The sequence below is a fragment of the Homo sapiens genome, chromosome 2, assembly GCF_000001405.40.
Source record: "Homo sapiens chromosome 2, GRCh38.p14 Primary Assembly".
NCBI lineage: Eukaryota > Metazoa > Chordata > Mammalia > Primates > Hominidae > Homo > Homo sapiens.
In genome coordinates this window covers 5,310,150-5,326,623 of record NC_000002.12, presented here as the reverse complement: position 1 = coordinate 5,326,623, position 16,474 = coordinate 5,310,150, and the positions used below count along the sequence as shown (strand labels likewise).

At 42.1% G+C, this 16,474-nt stretch overlaps 1 annotated feature.

Moving 5' to 3' along the window:
* Positions 895 to 1,409: an enhancer, noted in NCBI's record as "H3K4me1 hESC enhancer chr2:5465348-5465862 (GRCh37/hg19 assembly coordinates)". NCBI's record gives its function as "activates a minimal SCP1, AML or CMV promoter by ChIP-STARR-seq in naive H9 embryonic stem cells {active_cell/tissue: H9 hESC(naive)}" and the evidence as "EXISTENCE:reporter gene assay evidence [ECO:0000049][PMID:30033119]".

Sequence of the window (16,474 nt, the reverse complement as noted above, 5' to 3'; positions counted from 1 at the left end):
TGGATATTTGAGTCATTGGACTGGGAGAGGAAGCCCCACCCTCATTGTGGGTGGGCACCATCCAATCGGCCGCCAGTGTGGCTGGGACAAAGCCGGCAGAGGAAGGTGAGATGAGCAGCTCTGTCCGAGTCTTTCATCTTTCTCCCAGGCTGGATGCTTCGGTCTGATCCTCCTGCCCATGGGCATCAGACTCTAGGTTCTTCGGCTTTGGACTCTGGGACGTGCACCCGTGGCTTGCTGGCCTCTTGAGCTTTTGGCCACAGAATGAAGCCTGCACTGTTGGGTTCCCTGGTTCTGAGGCTTTCAGACTCGGACTGAGCCACTACCACTTCTCTCTTCCCCAGCTTACACAGGGTCCATCATGGGACTTCACTGTGTAATCATGTGTGCCAGTTATCCCTAATAAATTCCCTGTCATATATACATAGATCCTATTGAGGGATATACACCATGTATACATATATACACATATCCTCCGGAGAACGCTGACTAATACAGCTACTAAAGGAAAATCTGATTTGCGCCACTTTTCTAACTTTGTTTCTATATGTAGTTCATCCACTAGAAGACTGGCTATATCCTGTAAATACTCCTGTTTTTTTCTTTCCACATAAATAACTCCACTCAACACTGGATTCTAACAGAGCACCGCAGCTCCTGACTGATACAGGAAGGGGGCAGGGAAGTGCTGGGAGGAGAAGGTGGGGCGGTCCCTGGCAAGGGCTCCACCCCAGGCCTGTGTCCACGGACCTAGGTGAGAACAGGCATGTCTGTTTTCATGCCCAAATGTTGCATTTTCCAGACCAGCCTGGCCTGTCGTGCTCCCATCCCGTGCCTATAGACACTCTGAGAGCCTAGCGGGCAGACACGCCAGCGGCTGGCGGTTGCGAGACGCAGAGGGGTGGAGGAACACACCGGGAGACGCCAGCAGACGCCGGCAGGCCGTCTATGGCGGGACAACCGGGAGAGGAGTCGGGCTGCTCAGTGGAAACAGTCTCCAGGGGAGGCCACCTCTCTTCTGGTTCCCATCCATCTGCTGAGAGAGCTGCTTTCGCCATTCAATAAAACTTCGCGTCCGTTCTCCAAGCCCACGTGTGATCTGATTTTTCCAGTACACCAAGGCAAGAACCCCGGGATACAGAAAGCCGTCTGTCCTTGCAGTGAGCCGGAGGGTCCAACTGAGCTGGTTGATACAAGCCTCCTACAGACAACAAAATGAAAAGAGCACACTGTGACACGCCCACTGGGGCTCCAGGAGCTGTAAATACTCACCTCTAGATTCTGCCGTGGGGTCAGAGCCTGCGCTCCCCACCACCTGCCCGTCTGCCTGCTCCCCTTACGGGTTTGAGCAGTGAGGCACCGAAGAAGTGAGTCACACCCCCATCGCATGCCCTATGAGGGGGACATAGGAGCTTTCCCTGTTTCATGACCATCCAGTGGAAGGGATGGCTCAGGGAGGCTATGGAGATTTCTTTCCGGGAGTTGGGTTGGGAAGGACGTTCCTCACAAGGTTGTTCATGGAACTACAGATCTATGAAATATTCCTTTATTTAACCAATTGTGTGTGCTTACCATCTACGAGGCACTGCTTGGCAATGGGGACGAGAGAAAGAGAGTGTATAGAGCCTCTGGTCGTGGAATTTGCAGCACAGTGGGATTAAATGAGAAAGGACTTCTGTGAAAAAAATCGACAAGAGGTGCATGGAGGCCTAAGAAGATAACCTAAGGATATAAATTGTCAGAGGGCCAGAGAAGGCTCCGCTTAGTGCGTGGTGAGTAAGCTGGGAGCTGATGAGATGGTAGAGAGTGGCTGGGTGGGCGTGGCTGGTTGAAGACTCCAGAAGATACGGCTGTGTTCACAGGCAGGAAGGTGATCGACACACTGGGGAGCAAATGAAAAAGCCAGAGGTGGGGGAGGGGTAATAATAGAACAGATCCCATTTATCAAGCAGCTAGAAATCATTTCATTGAATTCCACAACAATCCTCGAAGGTACTTATTGTCCCAACTTCAGGGGTCATGAAAGTGAAATTCGGTGAGTTGGAGAGAATTGTTTGAAGTCACATGGCTGCTTAGCAGAGAAGCCAGAATCAAACCCCAGATGCATTAGAGATTTCTCTGCAATGCTGAGCCTTAGATCAGAGTGGAGCATGGAGCACAGGCCTGGAGGAAACAGAATCATATATTCATTCAAACGGAGTTAAGAGAAAGCATAAATGGTAGAAAGAGTACTGAGGAAGAAGGTGGAAGAGAATGAGGTGGAGAGTGAGTAAGTCTAAGAGAGTTGGGGTAAAATGTGTAAATCCCAGGCCTCTCAGCATCTGCATGTGTGTGGTTGGGGGTCGCGGGAGGAATCAAAGTGTGAGCCATATGGATAGTAGCTAGGGTATGGCTGTCCTGCTTTCCTTGATTTTGTTTCTGTTTTTGTTAATACAAATATAGGGGTAAGGACAACATTTGCTATGGACCTGAAGGCTAATTTGGATTTTTTTTAATGAAAGCTATTAAAATCTCTTAAATCTATTTCTGTTGGGTGCTCTTGGTCCAAGCTTATTATCACCTTTTCATAAATGATTAGGTTAGTCCAACTGGAACCACAGCCACTCTGATATACTTGCTAGACTGTTCTTAGTGAAGAGTTGATAAACTATGCTTTCTATTTAGTGTTACTGTATACATTCTTTGAAAAATGGATGAAGCTTTCAAATAATCATATTCAAATGTACTTCTACTTCTGACATTTCCTTCTAAGTAAGCAGGTAAAAGTCATTTCTCAACAGCAAGGATGGTGCCAAGGTAGATATAACATATTTTTAAAACAATTTAAACATTCTTTTACATACATAGTTTTAAAAAGCATTTTAAATATTCTTTTTCACATATGGCAAATAACGTGATTGCCATGTTAAAACAACAATAACAATTATTTGGTAAGTAACTTATAATTATATTCCAGGAAAAGGGGGAGTTAGAAGATAATCTTCTTAATAACCAGCAATCTGATCTCTGTGCTTTGTACTCAAAGCTCACCTTTTCCTTCCCATCTGCATCTCTTTAAAGATCAAGTAATCCTGATGGGGGACCTCCAACAAAATCTTGCTACTGCCTCCATTGAGGTGAGCTGTGATCCTCCCTCACTAATAACCTATGAAGAACCAGAAGTCAGATACTCTTCTGCAAGCAATGGCTACGATATTTTCCCAATTGTTAGCCATTTCATTTCCAAAATTTCATTTGAAAATTTCTATAAGACATGTTAGGAAGTATTGATAGGAGACCTTAGTGAGAAACTACACTCGCATGATGTAAATTGAGTAGAGACAGCTCAGAGTGCTTTTAACCTGTTCTCATTTTCCAAGGCTCCGCAATGATCACCATTCTATAAATACACACCTCTAGATTTTGCATGTTGAAATAGGGAAAAATGTAGGTAAAGGCAGACATTGCCTAAAATATATTCTAAGAGACACTAGCTTGGAGAGATGCCCAGGGATAAAAATGTTCCCAAAATCCAAGTAAACTTGAGTGAGGCCGTGCACATTTTCCCTCTCATGGTACAATAAACCTTAGTGTAAAGACTTAGAGACTTTCAGTATATAGAATCTTGTTTCAATATCTTAACTCAGCTTTTCCCCAATAATTGCTTAAGACTAACAATTTTCATGACAACAATTATTCATAGAGCCTATTTCAGTGGTGCTTTTGTAGGTGAAAATTATGGGCAATTTTCTGATTTTTAAAAATCTATTACTGACATTACTTATTTGTCCTTTCAAAAAGATACAAAGCTGAAAAGGATTTTGAAGTTAGCTGCTAATGTGGGGACTGAGGTGCCCATCCATACTCATGGGCATTCACAACAGGCCAATTTCCTTTTACCACCCTTGGCCAAAATTACAGGATTGGAGGACGCACATTGTTAGCCCAGCCCATCCCCCTCGACCTCATTCATGCCATCACTAGAGTCTTCACAGAGCAATTTCCAGCTTGCTTTCTGTGCTCCGTGCCAATGCAAATCCTGCCTGTTTTCAAGGCCCATGATAAATCCCATCTCACTTCAAAGCCTTTCCTGAAGATTTGCTTCCATTTGGCTTAGTTCAATAAACATTTATTAAATGATTAATTCATGTTTCACTCTGAACTGTGAGCCAGAGATACAAAATGGAGATGTCTCTCTGCCCTTAAGAATATTAAAATCTGACAGGGAGGCCAGTCACAGCCGCAGTAAAGCCAAAGCTCACTCTGGGTAGCACTAGAGGCCTGTCACCACGAGAAAGGGATACAGGAGGCGGCGGCGTAAGCAAGGCTAGTTAGGGTCCAGGTGCTTGTAGCCTTGTGTGCCTTGGATTTACAAAGGCAACTGGGAAACTTGAGTTTCTTAGGATAGACACACACACACACACACACACACAAACACACACACACACATACACATAATAGGATCTCCAAGGAAACCAATTATATTATATTAAAATACCAGTATCAAAATATTTTTTAAAAAATTAGTAACATGAGATTTTAAAGTAAGGAATCATATAATTCATGAATGAAATTTAGTAGCAGCTTAAATAACCACAAACATTTTGAAGATGGAAATATTATCTTGGATATGTGTAACAGTTTTAACATGGTATAAAAATATCTCTTATCCATACTGTGGACCGTGTCTCCAGATCCTGTACACTCCTGTATTCTGTTGGCTATAATTACTGCTAAATTTCACTTTGGAAGCTAGTTAACATTAAAAAAGTATTCTTTTCCATTCAAATTTATTGATCCCTGCTGAATTTATCCACACTCATTAACATTAAAATCCCTTCAAGCTTCCCCAACCTGAGGCCCTTGGCCACATGTGGCCCAGGACAGCTTTGAATGTGGCCCAACACAAATTCGTACACTTTCTTAAAACATCATGAGATTTATGCAGGCACTTTTTTTTTTTTAGCTCATTTTTTTTTTTTGGCTATCATTTGTGTTAGCATATTTTATTTTATTTATGTATTTATTTACTTTTTGAGACGGAGTCCCATTCTGTAGCCCAGGCTGGAGTACAGTGGTATAATTTCAGCTCACTGCAACCTCTGCCTCCTGGATTCAAGTGATTCTCCTGCTTCAGCCTCCCGAGTAGCTGGCATTATAGGCACGTACCACCATGCCTGGCTAATTTTTGTATTTTTAGTATAGAGACAGAAGTTTCACCATGTTGGCCAGGCCAGCCTTGAACTCCTGACCTTAAGTGATCCACCTGCCTCAGCCTCCCAAAGTGCTAGGATTACAGGTATCACTCACCACTCCTGGCCTTGTTAGTGTATTTTATGTGTGGCCCAAGACACTTCTTCTTCCAGTGTGGCTGAGGGAATCTGTGTTAGTCTGTTCTCATGCTGCTAATGAAGACATACCTGAGACTGGGTAATTTATAAAGGAAAGAGATTTAATGGACTCACAGTTGCACGTGGCTGGGGAGGCCTCACAATCATGGCAGGAGATGAAGGAGGAACAAGGGCACAATTTACATGGTGGCAGGCAAGAAAGCGTGTGCAAGGGAACTACCCTTTATAAAAGCATCAGATCTTGTGAGACTTATTCACTATCGCAAGAACAGCACGGGAAAGACCCACCCCCGTGATTTGATTACCTTCCAGGAAGTCCCTTCCGCAACACATGGGAATTATGGGAACTACGATTCAAGATGAGATTTGGGTGGGGACACACCCACACTATATCAGAATCCAAAAGACTGGACACTAACCTGAAGTGACTCAATAAGCAAAATCTTTACCCAGAATCAAGAGACAGGTTTTGGGAGATGAATACAGTTGTTCAGGTGAGCAGGGGAATTCAGCGTATTCAAGACAAATGAAAGAACAACATTTGGTAAAATAAACACATGTCATAGTGTACGTTGTTGTCATATGAATTACACAGGAGAGAGGTGCCTAGTGATGCTCAGAAATAGATAAGAAACAGACTCAGAGGCCTCTTCTGCCATTGTGAGTTTTTTGGTTCACATTGATGTAGTTGTTCTAACAAAAAAAAGTATATCTATACACACAAATACACATATATGACATACATGAGATGATCATACATACCTATGTGTATGTGTGTGTGTACATATGATATACATGGAAACATAATTATTTCCCTAATTAGGATACACATTTTTAAAGGCAAGCTTGCATTCTGTGTGTTGTTTGTTTCTCAACAGTGTTCTGCAAATCACAGATATCCAATAAAGTCTTCTTATATTAAAATCTTCCTTAATGATCTTCCTGATGACTCATCCTAGGAAATTTGTATCACAACATGAATTGTTAAAGTTATTTTGTAAACAATTATTCAGATATAAAGGCAAATATTTATATGCTAAAATGTTCAGTGCACCCATGAAGCATTGAAAACAAACTGAATGGAATGAAGCACAATAAGGAATTATTTAAATAAATTATAATGTAGGCATGTGATAGAATATGGAATTATATAATCATTAATATTATAATAAAGAATATTAAAAGTATGGGAATATATTCACAATATTTCTATCTTGTGAAAATAGGCAACAATACAACCTGAAGCCATATTTATACAGACTTGCACACAAATTTAAAATGGTAAACAAATGTAAGTGGTCATTGATTCTTCAGTGAAAGGGCAAATTGTACCTGGGGCTGACAACCCTGAAGTGGTGCTTGAGGCAACACATTTATCTTTGGACATTAGTGCATTTCAAAGACATCCGCTTTAAAAAGTCAACCAGTGCTGAGAAACAAAGGAGATTTGGGTTTAGAAGAGGAGTTTGCAAATGAATATGTGTGGAAAATGATAATTAAATTAAGAAAAAGCTTACAGCTGGCCCATATACTTCATTCAGGAAGCACCCAAAATAGATCCATTGCCATTCTCTGTTTTCCTGTGGTCAGCCTGAGGTGGGGTGATTCAGACTTTCACCTGGGTGACACTGCTTCTTCTTACTGGTGCTTGAAATTGCTGGAAATAGAAACAAATTTGAGTTTGAATGCCTTCACCTTAAGATGTAATGATGGCTGAAATTATTAAACTTGTTACCTGAGAGGTATGGACAAGTGATGGAAGGACAGGTGCATGAAGGCACTGGGCATAAGAAGCAGCACAGGAAAATGCACCAGCAGGAGCAAGCCCAGGAAACGGCAGTTAAGGGTCTTCCCAAGTTTCTCCCACCTGAAGCTGAGACACGGCCAGGTTACATGCTCTGTAGGGGGATTAAGAGGCTGAAAAGAGGTCGGTTTCTCACCTGGAGAACCAGTTCTACCTTTTAGAATTGGGTTATTTTTCATTTTATAGATCAGAAGGCAGAGAAACAGGAAAGAACCGTTAATTATACCTTTGATCTCAGGGACTAAATACATTAAGAAAAATGTTCACTACAGTGATGCTTACGAGTTAAATAAGAATTGGCATGCTTAATGAGGTCAAGTAAAACTTGGGAACCAGAAAGGACAATTGACTTGATCCATCTGGGAATCCTTTATTGATATCATGAAGATTTTCAAGCCATGAAAAAAATACTAAACATTGCATAGCCTCTGGTGCCTCGGGCCCTTGAACAGCCGCTTCCTTGCAGAGTCCCGTTGTCTCTCCTGACCTCCCTCATCTTTCTTTCCATCTTTCTCTCCTCTTTACCTATGCAGGCTCATACACATCACTATCTAAATTTGGCTTCAACAGGGAACTCCTCCTTGACCCCTCAAGACTGAATTCGGTGTCTCCTTGAGGTTTTCTCATACTACTTCGTGCATGTATCTATGGAAGTACTTAATGTTTTGTCTCTGTTTCCTCCCTCAGGCTGCACTATACCTGCATGAGATGGTTTGTACCCCCTCAGGCTCGTCCATCTGCAAGCTGTAGCCATTTGTCCCAGCTCTTGCTCAGACCAATGTCACACAGGCACAACTGGACAACGTCCACTTCACACTTCCATCATGAAGCATGAACACCCACGAGGCAGATGTTTGACCAGTGAGAGGCTGGAGCCAGTAGAAAAATGTGTCTTGCTTTCATCCCCTGAAAGACTGTCCTGAGAAAGAGTTGTTTATATAAGCTGTGTTCAGGCATTCCTGTTACATGAATAGATAAGTAATTTAAATGTATGCGTGCATACAAGTAAAAAGGTAAAAGGGTCTAAGGAATGTAGGCATCAGAGAGAGCAGGAGACAATAAAACTACAAACATCAATTTTTAATTGTGCAGATTACACAAAGTTTAAGACACAGAAAGCTTGGTTTATTTTTAGAGTACTGTATTGCTTTTGCTTTTCTGAAAATGTGGACAAATTGGAAAAGGTTCAAACTATAAAGTTAATGATTAAGGAGATGGAAGAATTGGCTTAAAGGAGAGAAAACACATTGTCAGGACCAGAGCAACTCTCAGCTTGACTCTACCTCTGGCTGCGGGAGAAGATTGTAACTTGAACATACCACAAGAGTGGGAATACCCTGGAGTGAGAAGTAAGTAGCATGAAATAAGGGGGTACAACCTAAAAGAGGAGTAATAAAGAGGAAATTATCCCCAAATGGTCAGAGATGGTGTTTCAGCTCCAAGATTTTGACAGTTAACTTATCAAAGACTTAGAAAAGACAATTTTGAGGAATTGTGTTCTCATGGAAAGAGGAGATCATCAGGGTTGTCTCTCCATCCTAAATGCTGGAATCTGGCCTTTGAGGCCAGAGCTTGGCATCTGGATGTAGCACTGCAAAATGGCAAGATGAAAGAAGATGAAGAGCTTTCACTGGTGCAAAGATTGATTGTGAGCTTAATTTACAGATTATTTGCAACTGAAAAAAAAAATAAGCAAAGAGCAGAGCCAGCTTTGCTGGAAAGAGACGTCTCTAACCAGGAGCGCTGGTTTCTGGCCAAGCTCAATTTGATGTTTGACCTTAAATAAATCATGTCAGTTTCCTGAATATTGATTACAAACAAACAACAAACACATCAATAAGAAATACAAAGTTTACCATATAACCTCAAAGGGTTTTTCTAAGTCTAAAATTTTACTTCTCCTTCCTATTATTTTTTAAAAATAAAAATAGCCAAACCAAAATCTTTCCTTTACTCAGACGTGAGCTACGTTTTTCTCATGTTCACATTAAGCTTGACCTAATGTATCTAATCAGCTTCTATGACAGCTGTTTTCCATTTTCTGTTTGCTTGTTTTGCTAAATTTTGAGGTCTTCAAAAAGTCTCCTTTGTAATAATGTAGGAACTTGATATATTCCCCCAGGTTGAATTCAGAAAAATGTCAAAATCTTTGTAAAGGTCTACAGCGCGCCTTACAGAATCTGCTCCTGACTTCCTAAGAGCTGATTCCCTGTTTCTCCCCTGCTCATTTATTTGGCTCTGAGAACACTGTCTTCCTTAATTATTCTCTGTCCATCAGGCTGGTTTCCACCTGGTCAATTGGCTTAGACTAGAACACCACGGCATCCCTAACCTCAGGTAGGTCGTATCTCGCACCAATGCTCAGCTCCAATTCCCCTTCCTCTGTGTACAGAGCATGTGGGACCCTGCCCACCAGCCTCTCTGCTCTCCTCCCCGGCTCCCTTAGGCTTTCTTCTTTTGAACCTCTAACCTGTATGTCTTATAGCCCTGATTCCAAAACCTCCTCTGTAGATCTTAGCTGCATGGGACATACCCAGGGAGCTTGGGAAGGGCACAATTCTCTTGTGCCTGCTCCCAGGGTCTCTGAATAGGTCCAGGTGAGGCTGACACTGTGCCTCTTACAGGCTTCCCAGGTATGTTATCATGGGTACTACTGGAGAACCATGGCCCAAAACCCACCGTTGGCTTTTAGTTTCTTTGTTTTCATGTACTCACCTGGGGAGCCTGCCAGCCTGAGGGCCCCCTGAGACATCCTTCTCCTAAAATTTCTCTGCAGTGACACAAGTAGAGAACCTGCAGGTTGGGATCTTTGTTAATAAATGTTTCAGGCACACAGAACAAAGCGTAGTCTCAGGAGACATTACGGGCAATCAGATTTTGTTGGTTTTTGATTTTGTTTTTTCTTCCATATGAAGGCAGCTGGAATAAATGAAGGCATGGCAGTGGGCTCTCCCACCAGGATCCAGAAGCCACAGGCCAACTACAGCAGTCCTTCGGCCATCAGGGATGCTCACCATTGTCACAGACGATGGGAGTCCTGGCACAGACCTTCACACCATGTCACTCCTGTCTCACCAAGAAGCTTGGAAGGAAATGTCAGCAGGACTATAATTGCTGAGTCCTGGGGACAACAGTGCCACTTCCCAAGAAAATGGGACTGTTTTCAAGCTGTAAAATCAATTGTAAAAGAAATAGCTCTTGGAATGAAGCCCAGTGTGTGAGATTCAGGTTGTGTTCTGCAGTATTTGCCCACACTGCAAGTCAGCATGCAATTCCAGCTGATGAAATACACTGTAGCCTACACCATCTTTACTGACCTCACCATTATTTCCAGGCCATCTCAGATGTGCATGCTGTTCTTTGCCTTAAAGGAAGCCAGATATTAAAAAGAAAAAAAAAAACCCTAAAGTAAATTTACCAAAACCACTGGTCCAAACAAGCAACAACAGTAACAATAACAACAAAATCATGGAAATAAGTATTTTTTTTTAAGTATGACAAGCAAAAGCAGTTGGTGCAAATCTCCCCAAAACAGGTTGGGCTGAATGACAGATGTTGCCAATGGCTGACGATAGGATTGAAATCTTACAACAAGTTGTAGGAGGTTTTCAATTTCACTGTGGGCCTGCCGTCCCTGGGCCCCAGCAAAGCCTCCCTAATGAGGCGAGCCCTTGGTCTGGGCAGAGCTCTGCAGGCTCCCAGAGAGCAGCATCCCGGGAGAGAAGCACCAAGCAGGCACAGATGGGGCTTGATGGATTCTAAAAGGAAGGCATTACCTGTCGAAGTCACTGAGCAGCCACAATTATTACAGGTCTCTGGGTTCATTGTCAATTAGAGTGGCAGTTGAAGCCAGCAGCAGCAGTGACAGATGGCTTATCTCCAGCTAGTTGTGCTAATGGGATTGGAGCCAACTCAAATCTTTTCTTCCCTCTGGAAAGGGGGAAAAAAGAGATCCTTATAGTTGTCAATTAGTCAATGTAAAAGGGGAGAAAGCATCATTTCTACAAAGGGGTCATTTATCTGTTTCCTTCTAATTCCTATTTCTAGTTTTTTGAAGTAGAGTTTCTGTTTATTTATTACTTGCTTCAAACATGTTTTAGTGGAATGTTCAACCAGAGGGCATTTTATATGGAATCTTTTTTCCGTGTGAACTTACAATATGGTTTTCTCATAATTGAACCATTTCAATCAAGTGGTCTTAATTGGCCAATTTTTTTTTTTTCTGGCTGAAATTTGTGGGCCATTCTCTTAGTTACACAGTACACAGGGCAAAACAAGCAAAGGCTGCTTCTGCACACAGAGACTTATGTGAAATACAGCCCAGAGAATCTGGCTAAGGGACAACAATAAAAACAATCCTTGCAAACGACCACATTTTAAGACCTAATGAGGGTGTGAGCAAGCACTATGTAGGCAGGGGTGCTGCATCCAACAAGCAGCCTGTATGGTATGGCAGGAACATGGCCTCAGTCTGTGTGAGGGATGCAGCCTGGTCCAACGGCTTCATGGGAATTGGTTGACCAAGTGGCAAACACTAGTTCACATTGAGCCAGTGACGGCTCTTCCTACAGAAAAGGGACTTTTGGAGCTAAAGATCAGGAAGCTCTTTGCTTTTTGTAGTGGTCACTCGTTGATGACCCTTGGCTCTGGTTGTATGGAGGGAAAGCCCTGCTCACGGTGAGCCTGTCTCTGCGGGACTGCCTTTCTTCTTCACCCAGGCTCTACTTCCCCACCACACATATGCACACGAACAACGGCTTTCACGTAATGGTCTCATTTCACATACACTGATAGGACTACTTTAAAAAGTTCAGGATGAGATTTGGTTGGAAATAAAGACATCACAGGTGACTTAAAGACAAGAAATAACAAGAAATTAATGAACTTTAATTCCAAATAAGCCAACTTTGAGGCAAAACTATCTTTTTTTTCTATTTAGGGAAATTGTAGTAAACCTATGGGCTTTGAGTGAGGAAATGGTAACATGTGAGTCTTATTCCACATGTCATAAACTTATTTTTTATCTATTGTTGAATTTATACCATTATGGACAGTTTGAAGAATACAGAAAAAATGAAGTAAGAAAAATATCTACACACTCACACAGCATCACACACATGCTGTAAAAAAATATTTCTAATTAAAAATAAAATATATAGCTCTTTCTCAGCTCCTTAACAGAAGAGCCTGCAGAGATTCTTGGGAAGGCAGCCTGGAAAGGGGTGCCCAACACCTTCAGTACTTGCGGATTCCCAGTCTCCTGCAGGTGCATCCACACTCGGCTTCCAGCAACTCCTTGGGGCTGTCACTGGGGTGTTCTTACCAGGTCAAGTCCCCAGTAGCTTCTGCGCCAGCTCTGAACATAACCAGGCAGGAGTTCCGTGACACGTGGCACAAGATGTGAGGATGGGTCACTGCTTCTTGCTGTTTGGTCACTGACAAGGCCAGCTTCCAGCACGTGGACTGCTTCTGCCAGCTCATCCAAGGCACTGAAGGCAGGGACTCATTCCTGACATAAGTTCAATTCGATTTGATTGGATACACTTGGGGAAAATAAGAAACAAGGAAAAAAAGACCTCAGTCACAATATCCTGTACACTGTACTTTGAAATCAGTGCCAAGGCCCTGCCTCTCAATATCAGCAAATACTTCCATAACTTCATTAGAGTAACTAGACAACAAATTTCTACAGAAAAAAAAAAGCCAAAGGAAAAACAATCAAATGATGGAGACATCTTGCCATCAATTGCAATGACTGAGGTTGCACAGGCTGGAGGCCTTGCAGACCTCTCCCTGCCCAACTGCACTGAAACCATTTCTAACCAGGACCTGGGGCCCTAGGACTTAGCTGGGTAAGATGGAAAGAGAGGGTGGACAGGGCAAAGGGCGGGACTGGGGTGCCCAAAAGGCATGGCCTTCCATTCTGTCACAAGAAACAAGGAAATCAGCTGTCAGCAGGAGCGGCGACCATGTACCTCATGGGTTGATTCAACCCGATTCCTGCCCTGCTCTTAGAGGGTGTGTTGTTTCTTCTAACTACTGAGTGTGGGCTTGATATGAAAGTGTGCCCACACATACATAGCACAGAAGGAACCCTGGACAAATGTCCCCCTCATGCCCCTCCGTGTCTGGGCTTAGATATCTTTTGTAGATTTTTCAATTATTTTAGAGTATTATTTTATTAAAGGGGTCTGTGTTCAATGCATAGTGGAAAAATAATTGTATACATACATGTTATATATATATGTGTGTGTGTGTATACATGTATACACGAGTATATATGGGTATATATGAGATTCTATGTACATAATTTTTCTATTTTTATTCACTTAATATTATACAACAACAGTTTTCCCACATTCTGAAGATTCTTTGTAGAGATATATTTAATGGTGCCTAATATTCTAATGTCACTTGCTTGTCACTCAATCATAGGTTGCATCTAGTTTTTCACAAATTTATGTGATTTCTTCATATATGTGTGTCTTTGTGTTTATGTGATTTGCTAAACATAGAAAATTAACATTTTTGCGGAAGCACTCTGTAATCTTAATGTCCTAAACCCTGTCTATTAATAAGTCTAGCAGTTTTTCTCTGACTCAGTATCTCAATTATTGCCTCTAGGCGACTGGATCAGGGAGTCTCTTCCCCAGCAGAAGCCCCAGTCCCAGCTCTGCCTGTCTCTGCTTTAGTATCTGCCACTCAGACCATCCATCCTGGGCTGTGCTGGTCCCTGTCCTTGCATTATTCCTGGGCAGGCAGCCTGGATTCTGACTCCCAGTGTGTTGTGCCATCATTGGCTGGGTGAAGTTTCTCAGGTTGCTCCTTCAGCAGAGGCTCCCAATGCAGATTTTAGAGGCAGGGACACACCCTGTTGATGAATTTTCTCCCTTTTATTCCATCATCTTCTTTCCTTCCCCTGCATGCCCTGATAGGCTGCTTACTGAATCTTTGTCTCTGGGGTCCTGTTACTGGCCCTTGACTTGGTTTCATATCTGTGTGTCTCTCTGTGTGTGATTTACTAGAGATCTAACAGATGGACATCTCCTTGCTGTAGGAGATGGTTGTGTAGCAGACAAAAAATGAATATTACCTCCTTCTTCTTGGCCAGGCCCAATTCTGCACTCCTGCTCTGCATGCCTTATTGTTCCTTGCAAATGTTGCATGGAAAGCTAAAGTTTAGGGGACATTACACTAAACACATCACATGCAGTATCTCACTTAATCTCCCAACATCACTTTCCCCATTTTACAGAGAAAAAATAAATGGCTATAAGAGATTGAGAATTTGAGAGGAAGTGAAGAAAAGGGTTTTCAAACCCAGTAAGCATGAGAGATGAGGCCCTTAACCACATGGCCTCAGAACTCCATGAGGGCAGCTGTAATGTTGTTGTAGATGTCTGCCTGTCCCCGCTTATCTCTAATAATGGCATGTGGCCAGGAGAGAGAGCTCTTGACAATCACATTTACCTGTAATCTGTAGTGGGCTTGTTTCTTCATCTGTAAATAAGGCTGCCTTTTCCAATGTTGATTAATAATGAGAATGAATGAGAGGGCACAGCATGGGGCTTTATGATATAATGCATTTGGATAAATAGTTGCTTTTCATTTACTTAGTGAGCCAGTCATTCAATTAGCCAACCATTTATTCTCTGAATAATAATTTTTTTAAAATGCTTTCAAATGTTCTAGACAATGAGATACAAAACTGACAAAGCCATAGCCCCTGCCTTCGAGGAGCTTTCTTCATTTCATAGTCAGGAAACTTATGCACGATCACACCTGGAAAATACTTTCCACACTGGTAGATGGACACATTTATCAGCACAGATAAGTAAAGAATTACAGCAAAATCCTAAAATTTACTGGTGCCCATCATGGGCATAGACCTCTATGTCTGAAATTAAAATATTAGTAAAAGTGTAAGCCATTGATATTTTCTTCTAGCAATGTTTAAATATAGAAAGTTCATGGTTCTTTTTAAAACAGATTTTGTTAAAGAGGGGTGGGAGTGTGGTTTAAAATGTCAAGTGTTCTGTCCAGTGCAGTGCTCAACAAATGCTCCTGAAAAACGTGTGAAGAGAATGGTCCAATTGTTCTCATAAACATGGACTATACCAAAAGACTTTTAACTTCATCGCTCACCTCCCTTCTTGTGAGTATAGAATCAACATTGTCTGATACCTCTTAATGTTACACACACACTGTGTAATAGGGAAAGAGAGACAGCTCCCCAACTTACTGGGTCCCATTTGTAACTCAGTGGGCAAGCTCCCCAGACTAAATCGTTGGATTTTAAAATTAACACCTTTCCATCAAATTTTCCATTGCTGAAGGCATCTTCTTCCTGTACTGACAAATCTATATCATATTCATAGAAAACTGACCTTGGGTAAGCTAGCAAAGAAGTTCACTTTTCATACATTTGTCTGCCTTGATGGATGGAGTTCCAAGACTTCCTAGAGTAAAAGAATGTGCAGACATGATTTGCTTTAAGGAATGGATTTACTTAAGCATTAATCATTCCCTTGAGAATTAATCCTTCATCAATAGCTTAAATCCTTTGTAACTATAAAACTCACCCTTCACAAACATTCATGGTCCAGAAACCAACTCTCTGTGAACTTGATTATCCCTGGAGCTAGTGAATGCCTATCTGTACTTTTGGAGATCAAGTCCCCATTCAAGAGTCCAAAACCCTCCAGATTTTCTTATTCCTGGTATTTCTGTTTGAGATGTTAACAGAAAAGAGGAACTGTACCAATGCCCACTTGGGAAAGTTGAGTTCATTTTTCACATTGTGCAACAAAGACATGTATGGTCAAGATTGTGAGGAGAGGCACTGAGAACAAAAGAGATGCCATGAAGAAAGACTCCCAGACCCATCCAGAGGACACTCACCAGGTCATCAGACCACCCAGGAGAGCTGAGCTGGTGTATTAGTTCATTCTCACACTGTTAATGAAAACATACCGGAGAGTGGGTAGCTTATAGAGGAAAGACACTTAATTGACTCACAGTTAAGCATGGCTGGAGAGGTCTCAGGAAACTTACAATCATGGTGGAAGGGGAAGCAAACATGTCCTTCTTCACATGGTGAAAGGAAGGAGAAGTTTCAAGCAAAAAGGGGAAAAGCCCCTTATAAAACTATCAGATCTCATGAGAACTCACTCACTATCATGAGAATACCATGAGGGTCCCCACCCCCATAATTCAATTACCTCCCACCAGGTCCCTCTTGTGACACATGGGGATTATGGGAACTACAATTCAAGATGAGATTTGGGTGGGAACACAGCCAAACCATATCAAGTGTTGTCTTCCCTGTACTAGTAGTGAA